Source organism: Homo sapiens, chromosome 2 (genome assembly GCF_000001405.40).
Source record: "Homo sapiens chromosome 2, GRCh38.p14 Primary Assembly".
NCBI classification, from domain to species: Eukaryota; Metazoa; Chordata; class Mammalia; order Primates; family Hominidae; genus Homo; species Homo sapiens.
The window spans coordinates 122,257,151-122,282,018 of NC_000002.12; the positions used below are offsets into that span (position 1 = coordinate 122,257,151).

The 24,868-nt window shown below is 37.3% G+C and overlaps 1 long non-coding RNA gene across 3 annotated transcripts in view, besides 1 other annotated feature; it reads left to right on the forward strand.

Annotated features, from left to right (window-relative positions):
- The window catches only part of LOC105373592 (uncharacterized), a 530,486-nt gene that overhangs the window by 354,698 nt on the left and 150,920 nt on the right, over window positions 1-24,868 (forward strand). Inside the window, exon 5 of one of the 3 annotated variants that reach the window (XR_923281.3) lies at window positions 520-6,723. The exons of the other annotated variants lie outside the window; for them this stretch is intronic. This is a non-coding gene — a long non-coding RNA (uncharacterized LOC105373592). Of the gene's footprint in view, window positions 1-519; window positions 6,724-24,868 lie in introns of those variants that run through there. 3 annotated transcript variants of the gene reach the window in all.
- Window positions 16,809-17,009: a silencer, noted in NCBI's record as "peak3844 fragment used in MPRA reporter construct". NCBI's record gives its function as "represses an SCP1 promoter by STARR-seq MPRAs in K562 erythroleukemia cells {active_cell/tissue: K562}" and the evidence as "EXISTENCE:reporter gene assay evidence [ECO:0000049][PMID:32103011]".

The following is a 24,868-nucleotide window of genomic DNA, read 5'->3' on the forward strand; positions in this document are numbered from 1 at the left end:
TCTTGTGACATTTTTCTTACCAACTTTAAATTTTTAGTGTAAGTTATAGCACACCATGATGTATGCATTCACACATACACACTTTTTTTCTAAGTGGGAATCACTTCTTTTGCAATGCCTTCCCTGACTTTTTTTGTCTTTGATATACTCCTTCTGTAGTTTACTTTTGTGACACTCTGCACATCTCTTTCCTATCATTTGTCCTAGTTGCAATTTTGTACTTATTTTTTGATGATCTGATTAACATTTTCCTCCTTCAGTAGGCTGGAACTACATCTGCTTTTTTCATGATTGAGCACCAAGCTTGATTCAACAAATTATTACTGAATTAATGAAATAAAAGTATTGCAATCATCAAATTATGGTAGTTCCCTATTTTCACATCTCTTTCCTGATTAGGTAATGCTGATTTCTCAGAAGCCAGGGTTGAGCCTGACACACAGTGGATGTTTAATAAATGTCCATTGTTGAAATGAACCAGTTGTATCTGTCTAGTGTCATTCATTATCCCATTCTTAGGGGGAGCATGAACCAATGAAGTACCACCGTACCTGACCAGGGAGACACAGATGAGGAATTGCAAAGGAAAGATGTGGCTGCATCAGAGAAGCCTGCTCAATTTTTTGCAGAAGATGAATGATTAATTCATCACCTGCAGTGACACTGGACTTATTATCATTTTGCTTTCTAAGACTGTTTTACAAATAACTGGTCAGTTAGTTAAGAAACTGGGAAATATTCATTATAATATAGTGAAGAAGTTGGTCCAGAAATTAGAGATCTGGCTTCTCCTCTCTATTTTGTCTTTAGCTAAAGATAAGCAAAACTTTTTCACTCTCTGGACTTCAATGTTCTCATCTTAAATAAAGGTTTTGGGACAAAAGTGTCTTAAATTTCTAACCTGAAAATTCTCTTGCCTTGTGAAGGGTGTAATATTTGGATTTTTATTTTACTTATTTTAGCCACACATTCTGGCAAATTTCATTTCATGGTCTGAAAAAGTGAAGCACTTCTAAGAAAATATTTAGAAGATAGACTATTTCTGGTGTAAAACATGGCCAATAAAACTTAAGCATAATCAAATTCTCTATATATTTTCATGTTCAACTTGTCTTCTCAAGCTAACTCACCACAGATCACTCTTTATGAAGATATTTATCAATTAATCATACACCTCCTGAATTTTGTGTAAGTGTGATGCATGGTATGTGTATTATGAATTATTTTCTCTAACCCAGTAGGGAAGCATGGTAGTGTAGTATGTGGACTAGGTTCAAATATCAACTCTGGCGCTCACTAGCTATCTTATCATGACAATGGATTTTATTGACTCTAAATCCCAATTTCTTCATTTAATAAAGGATGATGATGATATCTGCATAATGTAGTAGCCTTTGCAAGGATTGCAAACATTAATGCAGGGCAGGAGAGCGTGCACATGACTGAGCTCCCGTTATGTTCCTGGCACTACAGGTCCATAGTAGGTGCTCAGTCAGCACAGGTCCTTCACCTTCTGCTGCACGATAAGGTTTTTTGTTTTGTTTTTGTTTTTGTTTTTGAGACGGAGTTTCACTTGTCACCCAGGCTGGGGTGCAATGGCATGATCTCAGCTCACTGCCTCCCTGCAACCTCCGCCTCCCAGGTTCAAGCGATTCTCCTGCCTCAACCTCCTGAGTAGCTGGGATTACAGGTGCCCACCACCACGCCTGGCTAATTTTTGTATTTTTAGTAGAGACAGGGCTTCACCAAGTTAGCTAGGCTGGTCTCAAACTCCTGACCTCAGGTGATCCGCCCGCCTCGGTCTCCCAACGTACTGGGATTACAGGCATGAGCCACCGCGCCTGGCCACGAGAAGCTTTTTGAAACAAGCAACTCTCTCTTCTTCTTTGTAAATGCCACCTATAAGCAGCAATTTACAGAGTAGGAGCTTAATATAGGCTGAGTGGTTGGAGTGAAAGACTGCTCAATACTGAGAGGGAACATAGCATTGAAGAAGGCTTTCTTTGAGTAAAGGGAATTAGAAGAGGGATTAAGCCAATAAAATGTAATGTCATGGAGACCACACAGAAGATGGGAGCCTTCACATGGAGGGTGAAATACAGCAGTGGCTGTGCTGTCAGGCTAGACCAAAAAACTATTATCCCATTAAAATGCTTCTCCTCTGGCTCCTTTGCAAGGTGGCAGAACTGTAAAAATGTTGTGCATTATTTCCTTGCAAATCATGATGGAAATGCTGTGGAATTGTGCATGAGAACTTAAAGGATTCATCACGGCTTATTCCATTAAAATAAACACCAAAGAAAGTAATAATGGTATGCCATTTATTATGCAGTATTGTCAACCTTTTTATATGTTAAATGGAATCTCCACAGGCTTGCTAATGGTATATAGGCCATAAAGCCTTTAAGCAATAATGTTTAACTGTATCTGAAATAGTGGAATCTTCTGGTGGTTGCATAAGTGGCCTGGTTTTTAAATCTTCTCAGTGAGAATATCAGAAATGCAACAAAAGGCCCCTGGGATATTCTTTTTCAGAACAGGGGACAATCAGTCAACAAATACAAGGCTTTGTCCTTGTCATGTATGGTAGCATGTGTGCATGAGCAGGCATGATGACACCAGGCCTTTAAATTAACAAGCCAAAAAAAAAAAAGTAACGTTGGGACTAAGGTACACAAATTGCCCAAATCTGAACTGAACTTCCTTGTTAGGCTTTATTTTGTTTTGCTTCAACAGAGTCTCAAACCAGATTTATTTTTAGTTAACCCCTGGAAAAGTAGTACTAACATGTTGAAAAGAAATAGATAAGAAATGCTAAAATATTTCCTATTATGAACCTGAAATGAACATATGTTTATTACATGTAAGTGACGGTCATTGATTTTCTTCTCCCTCCACTCCCACCTTCATCTTAATTTCCTTCCCTTCTTTGGTTTTATCCTTCCTCCTCTCTTCCCCTTTGTTTTCACTTTTTCCTTTCTCCAAGTTTGAGATACACTTTCTCCTTGTCAAGTGAGTAGCTTCAAAAATATAACAGTCCTTAGCAGAAAGGAATTTCAGAATATCATCGGACCTGAGCTCCGAGTTTCAGATTCAATTGCCCTTAAAAGGCACATAGATGATCGTTGATCCAACTCCTAAACCTTAGTGCCTCATGCTCAGGGTAAGTGGTAGTGAGGAAAGGTAAATTTCTATAGGGGAGAGCACCTACAAAAATTACCTCCTTTAGGTTACATGCTGGGGTTCATCCCTGGAATGACAGAGGGATATTCCATTTCAGTTCTCCATGCATATGTGAAGCTATCAGTGCATATAATTGTCAGGGTTCCATAGCCTTGGGTGTTAATACATGGAGTGATTGATTTCATTATAAACCATAATTTACTGTTTATACTTCCTTCCAACTTCATGAATACTGATTGGTGGGAGCAGACCAATGCATTGTAGAATATAATTCCAAATGAGTAGTTTCCACGTAAAATTTAAACATGTCATAGTATACCATGCCTAATACATTAAACTGTGCATGTGTCAAATGAAAAATTCTTTTGTGAGAAATGAGCAAGTATTTATAAAGAATTTGGCTGATGCTATGAGCAAAGACTTTCAAAATAAGGAGCCAAAAGTTTCCTTTTGAACTGTGAACTCTTGCAGTTTTCAATCAAAATGAGCCCAAGTGGAACCTGGGAGAGCAGTAATGAACTGTTTAAATTAGAAGAATGGTACAATAGTATTAAATATCTGGTGGGCTTTAAAGCACCAGAAACAGGAATTCCTTTTGTCATGCAGTAGCAGAACAATTTGTTATTTCAGTAAACACATGAATCAATTCCAGCAGGATAGATGGATATTTTCTGAAGATGGGTCAGGGTTTTTTCAATTTAAAAAAATAGCAAAGGTGGTTTCTGTTAAAGTTGCTGCAGGGAAAATTCCAGTGACCCAATCCTTGTTCCCATATTTGTTAAAGGAGTATAAATATCTTGTGGTTAGGGACAATGTAGGAAAGAGGGGGACATAGTAGGTAATCAATAAATTGCTGTTATAATAATTAAGAAAGGGTTTGCCTGGTAAATTCAGACTGTTAACGAAATTGCAAGGGCAAGTTAAAATTGCAAAATATGCCTGTCTGACACCATTTGTGTGCAATTGATTGGATCATTTAAATAACGCTTAAGAAAAAATAGAGCCCTTTCCTACAATGAGTAACAAGGCAAAGCTTAACCAGATTCCATCCATATGTATTTGTCAATACTTGATAATATTGAGCACTCCTAGACCTAGTTAGGACAGAGAGACAGTGCAGTGCTGGAGTCCAGCTGCCAGGTTTCAAACTCCATCTCTGCTGCTGACTGGCTGGGTGCATTTAGCTCACGTCTCTGTGCTGCTCAGCTCATTTCATCTGAGAAGCAAGGGACAATCATGGCACATATTTCATATATCTGCAGCTGGTGTTAAATATAATCCTTGCAGAGCAGGTAGTGTTAGGAAGTGCTCAACAGAGGCTTATTACTTTAAGTGTTCTTAGTCTAAGAGAGATCTGGGCAATAATGGAAAGTTAGAAGAATCTACCCTGATAATATAGGGTAACTTTCCATCTTGGGGGCATTTTAGAAGATAACTGGCCATGGAAAGAGATGGAAAACTATTAAATTTAACCGTTTATTATTCCACACAAACTGAAAAATGTCAAAGGTATTTGAGATTTCCTCTCCTCCCATCCAATGTCCCTAACACTAGAAAAGAGAAATTTAGAAGCTTTATCAGATCATAGATACACCGATAGGTTTAGCAATGATTGGGGGATCTAAGAGCTGGTTGATTAGAAACACACAACTTTTGTGACCTAACATATTAAGTTGGCTTAGTATCTAGGGGAACACTTCAGTGAGTCTAGGCTGAAATCCAAGATCTCCCTTTAATGCAGAGAACAGATGGTGGAACAATAAGTCCAAAGACCATTAACGTCTTGCAGATATTCCTGACTTCTATAATTCTGCCAGAATCAGTAGTTCATGCACATGAGTCTATTCCCCCTTGAGAGTTCAGACAGGATGTGTTCTCATTAAGTTAAAGATAAAAAGATTAGGTTCACTGGAGAAAATGTTTTGTGGGTATCTTCAATTAAATCTCAGCAGTTTATAACTATATATTTAATTTCCTCCCACAGAGACTAGTAAAGAACTACAACACCTTGGAGTCCCACAAGCATTTTATGACATGAAAAGCCCATGAAACAGATTGAAAAAAGGGGAAAGCCTGTAGAATAGATGGCAACTTCACTAACATCTTTATTTTTTTTAAATTGTATCTATTCCTATGCTCTAATGATCTAGAATTTTCAGTGAATCCCTGGGAAACTTAAAGAATGCTGTGAGAGCATTCTTTTTTAAATATTTAAGAAAAGAGACATTTACTTTTATAAAGAAGAACATATGGCCTTGTTTGTTATTGTGAATCCTTGGTTCTAAATACTGCTGTCACCCAGGCATGTGTTCCCAACATTAACCTTTGTCTGAACTATTCTTATCCCTATGTAGGTGTATTTTATATCTGCATCTTCCATTAAGCCTTCAACTAACCATTTAACACACACACACGCACACACAAATTGGCCCCCAAGTATTTTTAGGTTTCAATCCTCTTATTTTTCACATGTTAAACTCATGGACCTTATATTTAAGTATATTTTCTGCACCTGCTCTCTGCCCAGACCCCTCCCTTAATTGACCTGAGGTCTCTCCTCTCTCTGATGCTGAAGGGTCTACTTATGGTGCAAGGATTTTCTATACTGTGGTGATTACAGAAATGTATGATTGAAGTTTATTATATGTCAATGATGAAAGGGATAGTCCTGATTTTTTAATAATGGGATTTATCCTGATAACTTTGAAGTAAATAAAACATTCATCTTTGTGGCTTTACTAAAACATAGCTGTTAATGGACACTGTATCCCCTTTAAAATTTTCTTCTTTTTTTACTTTATTCACACACTTTTCCATGGAAACCCCAAACATTAATTTAAAAAAATGGTATTAGTTTTCTTTGAGATAATAAAATTTTAATGTAATAAATAAAGGGGAAAATAAGTTTATGAAACAAATTGCTATTAGAAACCTGGTTTTGAAGAGTTTTTGTTTCCCATTGCATGACGGATGAATTTACATACACATACATGCAAAAATGCTATAATCCTAAATTGTTTGGTTCTGATGAGAAAAAGATCATATTTAGGAAATTAAATATTGGGTAGATAAATCTATATATATGATCAAACTGATCAAACTATTATAAAATCAATGATCCTAAGACTTAAGATAATTATATATGAAAATAATTCCTGCACATACATTGTGAAAATTTAGTCTCTCTCCAAGCTCAGTGCCTAATCCCACTCAAGGGTGACCACTTGGAGTGGAGCCTTGTCAATACCCAAACATGTTCCTTGCATGTTGTGCACATATAAGCACACAAGTACGTAGTTTATATATCAATCCTCTCTTTTTGAACAGAAACAAGAGTACAGCAGATAGCATTGTTCTGACCTAGAATCTTTTAAAAATCTTTATGAACAAATATGGAAGCACATTCTGCTTTTTGAAAATTTTTTTAGGTGATTATATGATGTAGACTATATATATTCTCTATACTGTATAAAAGGAGTTGTCAAATTATGGCCACAGATCTACCACCTGTTTTTCTAAATAAAGCTTTACTGGAACACAGCCACATCCATTTATTTACTGTTTTCTATGGCTGCTTTTGCACTACTATGACAGGGTTGAGTGTTACAACAGAGACTGTACGTCCCACAAGCCTGAAGTATTTCCTGTCTGACCTTTTAAGAAATGGCTGATTCCTGCAACATACAGTCATCTCTTGGGATTGGTTTCAGGACCCCTACATACCAAAATCCATGCATGCTCAAGTCCTTCTGTCAGCCCTGGGTAACCCACAAAAAGAGGGCACTCTGTGTGCCCTGATTTTGCATCCTGTGGATATATGCGATGGGTTGAAAAAAATCCACATATAAGTGGACTTGTGCTGTTGGAATCCTTATTGTTCAAGGGTCAACTTTAATATGACGGGAGATACGATGTATAGAAAAGTGCACACAAGTGTACAGCATGATGAACATTAACAAACTGAACATACCCATGTCACCGGCACCCAGATCAACAAACATAATCTTGCCAGCATCTTCTCCAACTTGCTTCTAGTCAATATTGACAGTATTCTTGTAATATTCCATTGTTTGTTTGGATGGATCTTAATTTGTTAAATTATTTCCTTAATCATGGGAATTTTAATGATTTCTTTTTGGTTACATACAATGTTTTATTTAACATCTTCATACCTATTTTCTTACACTTTAGGGGTTATATATGCAGGATAATTTACTAGAAGCATAATTTTGGAGTACAAGAAAATGAGCATTTAAAATTATAATTATTGCCATGTTGCACTCTAAAGAGGTTTTACCACTTTTATACACTACAGCAGAGTATCAGAAGGCCTTCCACACTAAATTAGCCAATAGTTTAATCTTTGCCTTCTGATAATTGGAAATTGTATTTCATTTTAATCTTAATGATCGCTGTTTTAATTTGGAGTGAGATTATGTATTTTTTCATTTGTTATAAATAATTTTATTTATTTGGGGGGAGGTAATTTTATGACAAATTTTTCAAATTTTCCTGTAGTATTTGATCTGTTAGATGTTTTGTCCTTTGTAAGGGAGAATGGTTTATTTACACTTTCTTAGGTTAACACTCATTGTATCCAATCTGCATACATTTTTATCTAGGGGTGAACAAAGCTTTTATTCATGATTCATTTGACTTTCCTCTGTATATGTGACTATTTCTCAGTTCTCATTTCTAATGCTGTGTGTTTACGCTTTATTGTTTTGTTTCTTTTTTTTCTGACTCTTTTTTTTATTTTTTATTTTTATTTTTTATTTTTTTATTATACTTTAAGTTTTAGGGTACATGTGCACATTGTGCAGGTTAGTTACATATGTATACATGTGCCATGCTGGTGCGCTGCACCCACTAACTCATCATCTAGCATTAGGTATATCTCCCGTTGCTATCCCTCCCCCCTCCCCCCACCCCACAACAGTCCCCAGAGTGTGATATTCCCCTCCCTGTGTCCATGTGATCTCATTGTTCAATTCCCACCTAGGAGTGAGAATATGCGGTGTTTGGCTTTTTGTTCTTGCGATAGTTTACTGAGAATGATGATTTCCAATTTCATCCATGTCCCTACAAAGGACATGAACTCATCATTTTTTATGGCTGCATAGTATTCCATGGTGTATATGTGCCACATTTTCTTAATCCAGTCTATCATTGTTGGACATTTGGGTTGGTTCCAAGTCTTTGCTATTGTGAATAATGCCGCAATAAACATACGTGTGCATGTGTCTTTATAGCAGCACGATTTATAGTCCTTTGGGTATATACCCAGTAATGGGATGGCTGGGTCAAATGGTATTTCCAGTTCTAGATCCCTGAGGAATCGCCACACTGACTTCCACAATGGTTGAACTAGTTTACAGTCCCACCAACAGTGTAAAAGTGTTCCTATTTCTCCACATCCTCTCCAGCACCTGTTGTTTCCTGACTTTTTAATGATCACCATTCTAACTGGTGTGAGATGGTATCTCATTGTGGTTTTGATTTGCATTTCTCTGATGGCCAGTGATGATGAGCATTTTTTCATGTGTTTTTTGGCTGCATAAATGTCTTCTTTTGAGAAGTGTCTGTTCATGTCCTTCGCCCACTTTTTGATGGGGTTGTTTGTTTTTTTCTTGTAAATTTGTTTGAGTTCATTGTAGATTCTGGATATTAGCCCTTTGTCAGATGAGTAGGTTGTGAAAATTTTCTCCCATTTTGTAGGTTGCCTGTTCACTCTGATGGTAGTTTCTTTTGCTGTGCAGAAGCTCTTTAGTTTAATTAGTTTTGTTTCTTTATATACATTTCTTTTCTCAAGAAGAAAAGCTCTTGGATCCATTTATTTATTTAATGGTTTTCTTTTGTTCTACTAATTTGTTGTTTTAATTTTTCCAAATTACTTTCTACACTCTGCTTTCTTTGGATTATTTTACTGTTTACCTCTTCATCTTTTTAATTTTAATGATTAACTCAATTATTTAAATTATTTTCTATTTAGAAATTTAATATTTAAAGCTATGAATTTTCCTACAATGCTGTTAGCTGGCTGCAGCACTAAAATTCTGATACTTAGTGCAACCAATTTTCATATTTCCTAGATATTGTGTAATTTGACTTTTGATTTTCCTTTTCAGCCAAAGATTATTTTTAAAAAGTTTTCAGAAATATCAGTGGTTTGATATTTTTCTTGTCTATTTGTATTATTATCTTCTAAATTTTTAAAATGTTATCTGAAAGATCAGAGAATATGGGAGGCTAATTTGGGGTGTATGTTGAAGCTTTCTTGTGGCAAAATATATGACCAGTTAAAAATAACATTCCTCAGGCATCTGAAAAGAAGATTATATGCTCTAGTTTCACAATATACAGCTTGATATGTCTATTACATCTAACATATTAAGTAAGTAGTTTGAAGCTCTCATATTTTATTTTGTTCTACTTTATTTTTGATGGCCAGAGGCCAGTGAGAAAAACATCTTAACTGGTTCTGTATTTCCATCTGTCTCTCATTGTTCTTGCTTCATAAATGTTTATGTTTTCTTGTGTGAAGATTTATGACAGATCTTCACTGTGGATTGCACCTTCCATCATTATTAAGTACACTTCATTTCACTTATTACCTTATGCTTTGCATGCAGCTGGGACTAATATTAATAGTTGACTCCTGATTTCGTTTTGTTTCCATTTGCTTGTATAATCTGTTACTATTTATCACTTTTCTTTCAAAATTCCTGAGTCTTTTATTTGTGTCTCCTGTGTACAGCATGTGGATGGATTTCATGTTTTATGAAATCTGAGAAATATTTTCTTTTAAAAATGAGTTCATCTTATTAACATTTATTGATATGACAGTTATATTTGGTATGTTCTTTCAACCTCTGCTTTTAGTGTTTTCTGCATTGTGGCACATCTTTGTGTTTTCTTTGCTTTGCGCATGTGGGTGTATTCTTTCTGAGAGCCTGGAAAGTTTATGTTCTGTTTTCACTTTTGTTATTAATATTGTTACTGCTTGTTTCGATTTTGTTGTTGTTATTGTTTTTTCATATACATTTAACCCTATATTCCTTCAGCTATGAAACTGAAGGAACGAATGAAACTTATTAAATGATAATAATACATTTAACTCTATATTCTTCAGCTATGAAAGTATCTGTGGCAGTATCTTTTGCTGTCCCACTATGAAAGTCGAAATAATTAGTGCATATGTATTTCCTTTTACTGCCATTTGCTTTTTTTGACCTTTGACTTTTGACCTGCTTCTTTTCTACAGACCACCCCTTTCATTTTCTAACTTCTGCCTCTTTCCAAGTACCGTGACCTCTCCTTAAGTCCCTACATGATTATTTTTATACTTTAAATCATATACTCAAATTTCTATTTCTTGGTTTTCAGTATTAAGCAGTAATCATTAGGTTCTTGGTATGAGAAATGAGCTAATCAATAACTTACCTGTCCGCTTTTTTCCAAAAGTTGAATTGGTGTTCTCCTAATTTTATCCACAATTAACAAATTTTTATGCCTAGTTTTCATCGACTGTGGGTTAGGGTTATAGCTATTTGGGGAGCTATTTTTGTATGTATATACATTATATTTATGTATTATATCCATATAAAAATTATACATTTATGTAAGTATAAAACTTTACATAATTTTATGTTATATAAGTAGAGTGCACATTTTATAGTATATACAATATATTTTATATCACGTACAAGTATATATTATATAAGACATTATCTCTTTATGTTTTTTGATTCTTTAAAATTTACCATTTTAAAGTATACAATTTCATGGCATTTTGGACATTCACAGTATTGTGCAACGCTTACCACTATCTAACTTTACAACATTTCATCCCTTTGAAAGCAGCCGCTCCCCATTTCCCCCTCCTCCCAGGCCCTGACAACCATTTATCTGCTTTCTGTCTCTCTCAATTTGCCAATACTGGACATTCCATTTAAATAGAATTATACAGGCGGGTAGATCACCTGAGGTCGGGAGTTCAAGACTAGCCTGACCAACGTGGAGAACCCTGGTCTCTACTAAAAGTATAACATTAGCCAGGCTTCATGGCATGTGCCTGTAATCCCAGCTACTCGGGAGGCTGAGGCAGGAGAATCGCTTGAACCCAGGAGGTGGAGGTTGCAGTGAGCCAAGATGGTGCCATTGCACTCCAGCCTGGGCAACAAGAGCGAAACTCTGTCTCAAAGAAAGAAAGAAAGAAATAGAATTATACAATACATAGCCTTTGGTGTCTGCCTTTTTTACTTAGTACATGACTCAGCAGTTCCACTCCTAGGCATATATACAAAAAAATTGAAAACAGATTTTCAAACAAAACTTGTGCACAAGTGTTTATAGCAGACTCAATAGCCAAAAAGTGAAAATAACCCAAATTTCCATCAGCTGATAAATCGACAAACAAAAATGTGGCATATCCATACAATGAAATGTCATTTCACCATAAAATGAAATAAAGTATAGATGCATGTTACAACTTGGATGAATCTTAAAAAACACCATATATTTCTTGCTGTGTTATTAGAAATGACTTGCATATTAATAGAATTTTTTTATCTCTATCTGGAAGACTTTGGCTTTTGTGTTCCAGAAGCCTAAAATATTAGAGGAAAAGATTAAGGAAGGGGAATAATGGGCTCTACAACCTTCCACCCTCTCTCCAGACTAGAAACCATTTTCTCAGGAGTTGGGAATTGATGAGGCTGAGAGAGAAGAGTTTATGCATTCTGGAGAAAGGGGTTCTGTGCTCCACCTCCTCACCAGACTCTTGAGCGGAGAGCAAGACTCTGGGAGCAATGGAGGACTCAAGAGCAGGGAAAATGTGTGCCTCTTTCCCACACAGAGCAGAGGAAAGTGACCCACCTCCGCTAGGGTGTGCTGCCTGGTGCCGCTCAGCAATGGCCAACCTGACCTCAACATGCTGACCATGCGCTTAGGAGTCACAGGCGAGCATCAGAAGGGCCAGATGAAAATGCACGAATGGGCAGAGGGTCCCCTAGCAGCAGCATCCTGTGTGTATCAATGACTGTGAATCTTTGAGACATGGGAGTAATCATTTCCTCTATGGACAGATGAATTCAATTCTAGGTTTCCCCCTATGCTTTCCCATCTCTTATACACAAGACAATACAAACACTCACATCCTGGGTACTACACAAACCTTGGAACTTGGACATGAAGGGAAACCTCTGAGAGAAACCAGTCAACTGAGGTTGAGTTTCCCACCACTTCACTGCCTGGGGTTTTAATTGCTAGAGAAACGTAAAGACAATGATAATTTTAAAAAGTATCTATTATCCATCCACTGATAAATGGACAAAATGTGGCATATTCATATTTAATGATAATTTGTTTAAAAGATTTATTTTTGAAGAGCAGTTTTAGGTTCACAGCAAAATGCAGCAGAAGCTTCAGAGATTTTTCACATAACCCTCCCCCCACACATTCTGGGCCGCTTCCCACACACTGACCTCCCCAACCAGAACATGTATGTACTGAAACATCACATATCCATTTACCACAAGAATTTGTAAAGGTATTATTTATTAATTAAAAATTAATTTAAAAAACAAAACAAAAAAGAAAAGAAATTGCTGAACCTACATTGACACATCATTGTCATCAAAAAGTCCATAGTTTATATTAGGGGTCACTCTTGGTGCTATACATTGTGTGGGTTTAAGCAAATGTGTAATGACATGGATCCACCATTATAGTCATACAGGGTGTTTTCACTGCCCTAAAAATCCTCAGCCCTCCACTGGTTCATCCCTCCCTCCATCCATCCCCTGGAAACCACTGCTCTTTTCACTGTCTCCTTAGTTTTGCCTTTTGCAGAGTGTCATACAGTTGGAATTATGCAGTATGTAGCATTTTCAGACTGGCTTCTTTCACTTAGTAATATACACTTTAATTTCTTTCATGTCTTTTCATGGATTGATAGATCACTCTTTTTAGCACTGTATAATATTCCACTGTCTGCATATACCACAGTTTATTCACCTACTGAGGGATGTCTTGTTTGCTTCTCAGTTTTGGCAATTATTAATAAAGCTGTTATAAACATCTGCATGCAAGTTTTTGTGTAGACATGTTTTCAACTCTTCTGGGTAAATTCCAAGGAGCACAATGGCTGGATCCTATAAAAGTATGTTTAACTTTGTAAGAAACTGCCAAAGTGTTTCACAAAGTGGTTGTACTATTTTGCATTCCCACCAGCAATGAGAGCAATGAATGAGCGTTCCTGTTTTTCCACATTCCAGCAAGGACTTGGTGCTCTCAGTATTCTAGATTTTAGCCATTCTAATAAGTATGTATTGGTATCTCATTGCTGTTTTAATTTGCATTTCTAAGATGACATATGATGTGAAGCATCTTTCCATATGCTTACTTGCCATCTGTATAGACTAATTTTTCACCACTTTGTTGAGTGGGGCCTTACCTATCAGAGAAAAACAAGGAGAATAATTTCTTTTAGCAGCTGGGTTTGCATCTTTAGACTCTTTCTACATATGCCAAGAGGAAGAGAGTTCTTTTTTCAATTTTTATTTTTATTCTTATTGTTATTTTCTCTTGCTTTCAAAGAGGAAATTGGAATAGACAAGCTTTATTCCACCATCTTTAACTGGAAGCTCCACATTAACTATTTTAAATACATCAGATTAAAAATAAAACATAGATATCAAAGGTTTTTGGTAAGAATAAAGAAAAGGTAATATTGCTAAGGTCAAGTTCTGGGGTTGTCTAAAGGGTCTTATTTGATTTTCTAAACTTTGACAGTAGGAGAATTTATTTGGGAAGAAACAATTAGTTCCATAGACCAAGGCTCATCATGTATCATTTGCAAGTGGAAAAGAATGAAGCTGACACCTAGAAAGATGTCCTATTTCACTATCCTAAGTCTAGTTGGCCAGGGTGGCCATGGTTGGGAGATTTTATCAGGCTAAGCTGCTATTTGAAAGAGGAGTATAAAACTTTCCAAAGTGTCTTAATTAAAACTCAACAGACAAACTCAGAGGACAGACATGGAGGAATTGGAAGAGATGATTCAATCAGCCTCAAGGAGAATGAATACTTTGGCTTCAAAGAAGCCAACTCAAAAAGAGCTATGTGATTTCTGAGAACATGGTGCCCATCCATGGCCTGTGCTGGGCAAGCCTGTGTGATTTCGAAGGACAGAATTTGAGTGGGGGGTGGAGTGTTAATTGATGACGCCTTTATCAAGTCTGAACAAAATGAAACAAACAAAGAAAATCAGTCAATTGGGGCAAACCAGCAGCTTTTCAAGTGGAGTCTGCAATCTGTTTTGGAGATTGGCTTTGTCGTTAGGATGTTACACAATGGGGTGACATAACCATTTTTCTCCTCTCCAGCTGTTTGTTACTGTTTATACCCCGTGTTTGTGTTAGATATAAAATTACCTGACAAGGTAAAATGAAATGATGTTATCTTCCTAATAAACATGTAATGGCCATGCTAGTTTCAGCAACATTGATTGAGCAGCCCATCTCTGGGATCCAGAGAAGTCATTAGAAGTACCATTGATACTTCTTTTCTTGATGCCTCTGGGTGGAGATTGTGGTGAGATGATGTCACTGTGAGCAGAGTGTGTGTCTTCTTTCTTTCAACGGCTTTTAATCTACACATTTCCTGAGGGAAGAGAGTGTCCTCTACCTTTTTTAAAGTACATTCAGAGATGTGCTAGGGAAGGGTTTGCACTTAGTAGTCAGCTGTCCCACCAAAGAGGAGCAGCAGTAAGTTCAGTGATATTTTGCCTCATCTGATGTGCACAATTGGTGCCCTGATGATATTCCAATGGGTCCAAGTCAAACGGCCAGTCAATAACGTTTATGCAGCCTCTGATGACACAGAAAGACACCAGAGGCTCACATGGAGGAAGACTGATGCAGTGGAATGGGTGAGTGCTTGAAGCTAGGCAGGCCTGTGTTCAAATCCCAGCCCCAGCACTTATTGCCTCTAAGGCCTGGAATGAGTTATTAAATCACCCTGATTTCTAGATTTCTCCACAGAATAGAAAGAAAAATTCTATCCCAAATTATTCAATTAAATCAATACCAGTATTGAGTACCTACTATGTACTAGAGTCAATTAGGAGAGACACTTTTTGTTATTCCTTCGGTAAATATGTTGTGAACCTACTATGTGCCAGGCACTAAACTGAGTGAAAAAAAAAAGACTGCAGGAAAATGTGATAAATATAGTTACAGGTATTTTACTTATTTTTGATGTTTTAAGATTTTAAGATTGAGTGAGGGCATATAAAAGAGTCTGCTATCCTGGAGGGATCCACAAAGGCTGCATAGGGGAGTTGCTGGTGCTCAGCTTTGAATGAGGCAAAAGAATATTCCAAGCAGGGAACTGACAAGGCTCCCCCAGTGAGTCTGTAATGGAGACACCCACCTCCCCAGGGAGGGGCTTCTGGAATCCTAATCCAGTGCTCTTTTTCATTGCCACGTTCTGCATCTTGGTTTGAGTTTTAAATGATTAAATGCCAAATGTGATAGTAAAGGTATTAAGGAAAGAAAGTGTATAAGCACGAAAGAATCACGTGTGAAGAATTGTTTAAAACGAAGTCTTCCATCAGCCTCCCATAGCCAGGATTGACATTCTGATGCTCTCTTAAAATGATAATGCCCAATTTAAAAAAATTATGTCAAAGCCTAACTGTGAGGGGTGGGGGAGGAGGTGAGGAGAATGCACTATGTGGGAAGGGTTATTTAAAGTCATCAGGATAATAAAACCTTCATTCTTATAACAAGGGTGAGATAATGAGATGTTAATCCTTCCAATATTTAATAGATTTATTATTCTAATGAACTATACCTGACAGCTTTGAACTGTACATAAAAATTATTAATCTTTTGACAGATGTTGAGGGTTTTCTTTCTCTCAGTCTAGGTGTATGACCAGAGAGTTATGGCTGAAATTGCTCACTCACTGCAATTTCCCTCATGGTGTAGTGGAATATTGAGGATCTCTGTGGTCCTGACTTTACTGAATGAAAACTGTGGGAATAAAACCTTGCAAAGCAGAAATTAGAGAAGTACTGATAGAGGAGATTAACTGGTATATGCGTCCAATGATAAACAAAATCAAACACAAATCATAGAGGCTTTTATCAACCTGTTCAGTAGGACTCAGTCTTGTAAATTTAACAGCCTTGTTAATTTAACAAAGATGTTCTGAACACCTATTTTGTGCCAGGCACAGTGTTAATGTCAGGGATAAAAAGTTAACTGGGACGTGTTTTTTGTCCTTGAAGATCTCAGCATGTAGTGGTCAGCCACTGCTGCCAGGCAATGAGGGAAAGTGAGTACCTGAGATGAACAAAGGATACAGAAAAGGCCGGGGCTAATGGGTTGAAAGCTTTGGTGTGACTGAAGAATTTCTGGAGCTAGGATGCTAGAGACAGTGAGAAAGAGAGAGAAGGTGGTGGCTACAGGGGGAGATGCTTGCCATGGGAACATTGAATGAGGTGCAGTTATTGGTAATGAGTATGTTTACAGCAGTGGTTTCAGAACTGTTTTGATCATGACTCAACACAAGAGAGATACATTTTATATCATGACTGAGTACATATACATATATGTGTATACACGTCTATACACAGATGTGTATACACGTCTATACACAGATGTGTATACACGTCTATACACAGATATACATATGTGTATACACGTGTGCATACACGTGTGTATACATATGTGCATACACGTGTGTATACATATACACATATGTGCATACACGTGTGTACACATCTACATATATGTGCATACACATGTATACGTATATACATATATGTGCATATACATGTATATGTATATACATATAGGTGTACGTATATACGTATATACACGTATATATACACACATACATATATAGGTGTATGTATACACATATATACGTATATATACACCTATATATACACATATATACACCTATATATACACACATATACGCACCTATATATACACATATATACACACCTATATATACACACATATATGCACCTATATACACATATATACACACCTATATATACATATATACATATATATACCTATATATACCTATATACTCCTATATATACATATATACACCCATATATATACACCTATCTATACATATATACACCTATATATACACATATAAACACCTATATATAGACATATATACACCTATACATACACATATATACACCTATATATACACACATATATACCTATATATACACCCACATATACCTATACACCTATACATACCTATATATACGCACCTATATATACCTATATATACACCTATATATATCTATATATACCTATATACACACATATGTATACACCTATACCTATATATATACACCTATATATACACACATATATACACCTACATATATACACGCATATATACACCTACATAGATACACACATATATACACCTATATATATGCATATATGCACCTACATAGATACACACATATACACACCTATATATACACATATATACCTATATATACACACACATATACCTATACACACATATATACACCTATATATACACACATATACCTATATATACACACATATATACCTATACACACATATATACCTATATATACCTATATACACCTATATATACACCTATATACACATATATACATATATACACATATACCTATATATACCTAGTATACCTATATACACCTATATATACACACCTGTATATATACACCTATATATGCACACCTGTATATATACACCTATATATACCTCTGTAAATATACACATATATACCTATATATACACCTATATATACACACCTGTCTATATACACCTATATATACCTATATACACACCTATATATACCTATATACACACCTATATATACCTATATACACACTTATATATATACCTATATGCACACCTATATACACACCTATATACACACCTATATATACACCTATATATAACTATATACATATACCTGTATATCTATACACCTACATATACCTATATATCTATACCTATATACACCTATACATACCTATATATACACCTATATATGCCTATATATCTATATATACCTATATACACCTATATATGTACACCTATATATACACCTATATATGTACACCTATATATACCTATAGATATACACCTATATATACACCTATATGTACACCTATATATGTACACCTATATATACACCTATATATGTACAGCTATATATACAGCTATATATACGACTATATACACACCTATATATACCTATATATACACCTATATATACATCTATATATATCTATACATACACCCATATATACCTATATATACACCTATATATATCTGTACATACACCTATATATACCTATATATACATATATACCTATATATACACCTATATATACATACATACCTATATATACACCTATATATACATACCTATATATACACCTATATATATAAAATTGAGGCAAAGTTTCGTGAAATAATTCCTATGGTTATTACAGGCAATGTACCCTGATATTTCCTCTTATATTTTATTTCATTTAATGTAATACAAAACTAGATTTCATAACCCAATAATCAATTACTATTCTGGCTTAAAAATCACTGGGGATGAAGGGCTGACGTGGGGTAGAAAACAAACTCACTGCCAGTGAAAAGATAAAGATAATGAGAGGCCAGATATTGGATAGATGTATCAAAGGTTTTGTAACCACCAAGAATCGTGATAGGAGTGATAGTGAAGAGAAAAACAGCAGTCCAGGGAATAGAATCCACATTGAATGAGGAGAAGTGACCAGGAGGGGGGCAGGTGCTTGGTGCAAGGACAGGGGATGGGCTACCATCTGATAGAACATGCCTTAGAGGGGCTGGGGGTCATAGAGAGAAGGGAAGAACACGGTGTGGAAGCAACTGTGAAGTGTAAGAGAAAACCTGTTCCATGGGACATGGCTGTGAAAGAAACACAACTCCCACTTGAGAGAGGGTTACAGGGATATAGGGTCATCAGGGAGACAGAGCTTCCATTTAGGATAAGGTGGAGGGAATGGTCAGTGAGAGTAAGAAGATAGGGAAGGCTTTGCCCTCCAGAACTCATGGTCTGTCATCAAGTTTGGGGGATTAGGGAATGGTGGGAGTTTGGGTCAGCTTGGGGGACTCGTCAAGCATTGAGGTCATGAGTCCTTGGATGCATCTTAGGCTCCTTATGGTGACTGAGGTAAGAGAAGAGCAATGCTTCGTGGGCTTTGACATGGTGCTCTCTGGGGAGAAGATTGGTCATTGTTTCTGAGATAAGCCTCTTGAAGAGTGTGTAGTATTGAGTCAGGGAGTGCTTTGGGTGTAGGGGGGTGCATATCTGATGTTTTCAGCAAGTGGAGGCAGGGGACAAGGTACCATTTCTATCTTCTACAAAAAGACTTGGAAATTTGGTAAAATAATAGACCACAAAGCCATACTGCAATGTGTAGGTACCAATAAATATGGGAGAAAAGGGAAAAATCTTCTATTTCTAAATTCTCAGAGGAATTGGGGAAAGCTCACAGAGACAGTCAACTCTATTGAGTCTCAAAAAATGAAGTCTTTGCTTGGTTGTACATGGAGAGAAAACAGTCCAGAGAGTGAGAAGGCCTGTCAGAAAGAACAGAGACATAGACTAGATCAGCAAGTGGAGAGGGTGAGGGACCTCCATGGCTGTAAGGAGGCATGGTTTTGACTAGCATGCCCTTCAAAAGTCATTGTTTCCTTTCTTCTGGAGATGGTCCAATGATCTATCGACCTGCTGGTCACTTGCTCAGGTGGACAGATATGGCTTATGGTAGTTGGCTTCACTGGGAAGGGTCTTTAGCTTTCTGTGGAGGGAGCCATAGCTACTTGTCCACAGCCATTTCTCTAACAAGGGTCTCTGCAGAGTGACAGGCTCAGAGAAGGCAAGCCATAAGTCTGAATTCCTGGATTCGGAAGAGGATTATCCACGGTGATTGCACTGTCTTTGGGAGTTTTCTCTGGGCCTTTCACTCATTTGTCATTCAGTCTTTCACCAAGCACACATTGAGTACTAATGAGCAAGGAGGAAAAGCATGTGGTTAGAAAGTCCCCTTGGAGGAAGTAAGACCTGACCTGAGGGTTGCAATTCATTAGTGCATCTAATTTAAAACTAAAGTAGTGGTTCTGGCAGGGCGCCGTGGCTCACGCCTGTAATCCCAGCACTTTGGGATTACAAAGTGCTGAGGCGGGTGGATCACGAGGTCAGGAGATCGAGACCATCCTGGCTAACACGGTGAAACCCTGTCTCTACTAAAGATACAAAAAATTAGCCGGGTGCGGTGGCGGGCGCCTGTAGTCCCAGCTACTCAGGAGGCTGAGGCAGGAGAATGGCGTGAACCCGGGAGGCGGCGTTTGCAGTGAGGCGAAATCGCGCCAGCCTGGGCGATAGAGCGAGACTCCGTCTCAAAAAAAAAAAAAAAAAAAAAAAGTAGTGGTTCTATTCCAGTATGTTTTTTTAAAGTATAAAGTATACTAGAATAGGAAGTGTAATGCAGAAAGAGAAAATGTCACTTCCTAAAGATTTTGCAAGATGAACAGCTCGTTTACATGTTCTCCATGGAACATAATGACTCTAGGTGTCAGAAGCAGAGGCAGGGGTGGTCAGCTACAGCCCCGTGGAGGGGAAACTCCAATGCCAAACCCTTTAGGCACTTAGGGTGTCATAGTTTCTCTCTGTGCCTCAGCACTTTCATCTGTAAAGCAGAGGGGTTCTCATCTAGCAAGATGACTGCAAAGCTTAATGGTAGACAAAAATGCGAATGTTTATTATTTCACAATATATTTTATCTGAAGTCTTCTGTCTCCTGGGGTCAGAGAGTTAAACTGATTATCCTTATTGCTAATATAACAAAATCTTTGAAACCAGAGATTTCATTTCTCTATTCATTGCTGATCATTGAGTGATAATTATGTGGCCAAATAATAAATTATATTATCAGCTACATAAATAATGAATCACATAATCAGTTATCTGAAAACTATACTAAAGTAGAGGAAACTGACTTAATCTCCTCAACTAAGGAAGTGGAGATATTCCTTGGAACTAAGTTATTTTTTTTTCCCTGATAGGCTTAAACCTGGCTAAAAGATAACTATGGAAGTAGAAAATGATGTGTCTTGGAGGATTTTTTGTTTGTTTGTTTTTGTTTTTGAGACGGAGTCTCACTCCGTCGCCCAGGCTGGAGTGGAGTAGCGTGATCTCCACTCACTACAAGCTCCGCCTCCCGGGTTCATGCCATTCTCCTGCCTCAGCCTCCAGAGTAGCTGGGACTACAGGTGCCCGCCACCACGCCCGGCTAATGTTTTGTATTTTTAGTAGAGACGGGGTTTCAGCGTGTTAGCCAGGATGGTCTCGATCTTCAGACCTCGTGATCCGCCCGCCTCAGCCTCCCAAAGTGCTGGGATTACAGGCGTGAGCCACCGCGCCCGGCCGTGTCTTGGAGGATTTTAAAGATTTGTGTTAAGTTGCAGTCCTGTATAGAAGCAGGAAACTAGATATTAGAATATATTTGGCTTCTCCTAGACCCATCTTTCTCTTTTTTCCTGACAGCACATTTATCCCAATGTCTTTCATGTTAAGCTTTTCATATGACCGGCTTCATTTGCAATTTGCTAGAAGGAGGTAGAATGCAACTTCTGATTTTTGAAAGGAAATATTTTAGTATAATAGAATAATCGAATGCAAGTACTACTGATATAGTTTCTAATAACTTCCTGGAGATTAGAGAGAGAAATCCATGAATAGAAAACATGGTTATCTCTGAGTTTTTAATGTGTACGGTTAAAATAAAAGGTTTTAACAAAAAATAGGGCTTGATATGGGCTTAGAAGTTGGGGACGGCAGAAGGGAAAAATAATAGCTTTAGCTACACAGTTATCTATTGCTGCTTATCATTGAGAATCAACTAATGGGTTGCAATACTTCTTTATTTTAATAGGTTAGGGCACATCTACATATCTGTGATTAGAATCAAGTTTTTAATATAAAGCTACAAATAACTGTAGTTGTTCCAGACATTGGAAGATGATATAAAAGTAATACAAAATAGTGCAGAAAATAGGAAGCCTGCATTGTATGGTTGTTATGAATATAAATGAAAATATGTGTAAAATCACTAGTCCAGTATCTGGCACATAGCAGGTACATAATAAATGGTAGTTACACATTATTATTATTCTAAGAGTATTTATTAGAGAGTAGGGTCTGTGACCACCCCCCCAAAAAAAGAAAGAAAATCTTCTTACAGATTCCCTCTTCTCCGTTCATTTTTCTTTTAATTTTATGGGTTAAACTTTAGAAAAGTGGCAACAAAAAAAGTATTACAAAGAATGCCCATACACTCTTTGCCTGGACTCACCTATTGTATTTGCTTTCTCTCTCTCTTTCTTCCTCAACCAATACATAATACGTTCCATACACTATGGCCCTTTAACTCTAAACAACGTATTAAGTATCTCCTAAGAATATGGGCATTCCTGCACATAAACACAATGCAGTTCTCAACTCCAGTAAATTTAACATAATTGTGATGCTTTATCTACCCTCCACGTTCTGATTTTATCAGTTGATTCGCTAATTTTTACGGTATTTTTCACCGATAAATTACTGTATTTAGTTGTATGTCTAGCATATTTCCATAGGCTTTTTGTATCTTATGACATAGACATTTCTGAAGAATACCAATTCTAAAAGTCAAGCATTTTATAAATGGTGTACTTCCTCTCACACCCCTTCTACCCCATCTCTCCCCACCTCCTCTAGATAACTAACATCATTGTTTTCTAGTTTGCACTTCTTGTGATCCTGTTGGTGACGATGAGAATATACAGCCATGTTTTCTTATTTTTCCTTTTCTCTTTTCGCAAGACAGCATGTACATATGCTGTTTTTCACATTGCCTTAAAAAAACTTTACAATGTCTTCCGGAATTCACTCCACATCAGTTCATAGAAATCTTCCTTGTTCTTTTTCACAGTTGCATAGTACTCCACCATGTGTATATAACACAGGTTATACCCTATGTCTCCATATGACTCTTTGGTATCTTTTATAAAGTCAAATAATACTTCAATAAATAACAAAGTGCACGTGGTTGTTGGTATTATTTGAAATGTATATTTAGGCTAAGTGGGATTGTTGGAGTTAAGGCCAATGAATGTATATATTTGTTAAATATTGCCAAATTCTATATGGGCTGCACAATTTGGTATTTCTAACCGTACTGGACTTTGAGCTGGAAAGATTTTACTGTGGTCCACAGTAACACGCAACATTAGCTGTTGCCTCTATGTCTGGTGTTTATTGCTACGGCAACTGTTCTTTCTGTCTCCTGTGTAGCCCCATCTTTTCCCTCAGCGATCAAACCTGCTAAAACTGCTCATTTTGAGGAAACTGGTGCTGGCTGCATTAAGAGTCTTCTTCACTGCCATTCTGCTTCTCATTGTGCAGTATAATTTCCTTTTTTGAGGACGTGGGGGTTCACTCTGCAGATAAACCTCCCTTTTAGGGTTGGGACCTAAAGGTGAAATCAGGAGATGAAACAGAGCTAAGAGCAGGCATGCGTGGTGGCTCACATCTGTAATTCCAGCACTTTGAGAGGCCGAAGAGGGCAGATCACAAGGTCAGGAGTTCGAGACCAGTCTGGCCAACATGGTGAAACTCCATCTCTACTAAAAATACAAAAATTAGCCAGGCACGGTGGCATGCACTTGTAATCCCAGCTACTTGGGAGGCTGAGGCAGGAGAATCACTTGAATCCGGGAAGTGGAGGTTGCAGTGAGCCGAGATCATGTCACTGCACTCCAGCTTTGGTGACAGAGCAAGACTCTATCTCAAAAAAAAAAAAAAAAAAAGAAACAGATATAAGAATTGAAGATGAACACGGAGAATAAATGAAGAGAGAGAAATCAGAATGCATTGTCAGAAATGAGGTTTTGGAAGCAGATAATCTGTGATGGCTGGAGTGAGAGAATTCAGATAGACAAGGAAGAATTGTGGGTCCGGAGAAACAGGGAGTGAGCACAAGAAGAACCTGGAAGGTGCCGTGATGGGTGGGAGGATGGCTCATGGGTAAATGACCAGAAAGACATGTCAGTGACCAAGATGATCAAGCATCTTCTATGGGTCTGGTATTGGGGTTGGTGTTTCGAGTCTATTAGTCTTTTTGGTTCATCTATGTCTGAATTAGTTGGGGGCACTTCTAGCTGCTAACTAAGTTTTGGTGAACTTTAGAGTGAGTAGGAGATAGCTAATACAGACGGAAGAGTTGATTACTCTTTTTTAGACTTACATTCATTTTTCAGCTTAATTCAGCTCAATAAATAATCACTGAATGTTTATTGTGAATCAGGATTATACTGCGTGAAGTGACTTAAAGATAGATCCTATCCAGCCTCTGCCTTCTAGGGTCTCATGTGGGTGAGAGGCAGTGCCAGCACAGTTACAGGCAGTGCCAGCACAGTGTGGTGGGTGTGAGACTGCAGTGGTATCAGGTGTCCTGGGAAACTTGAGGAGCCCCAAGATTTCCAGAGGAGGTGTTGCATGCCTCAGCTAAGTCTGGGTAAAGAATGAGAGAGAACCCGAAAAAGGGCAGTGGGGTCTG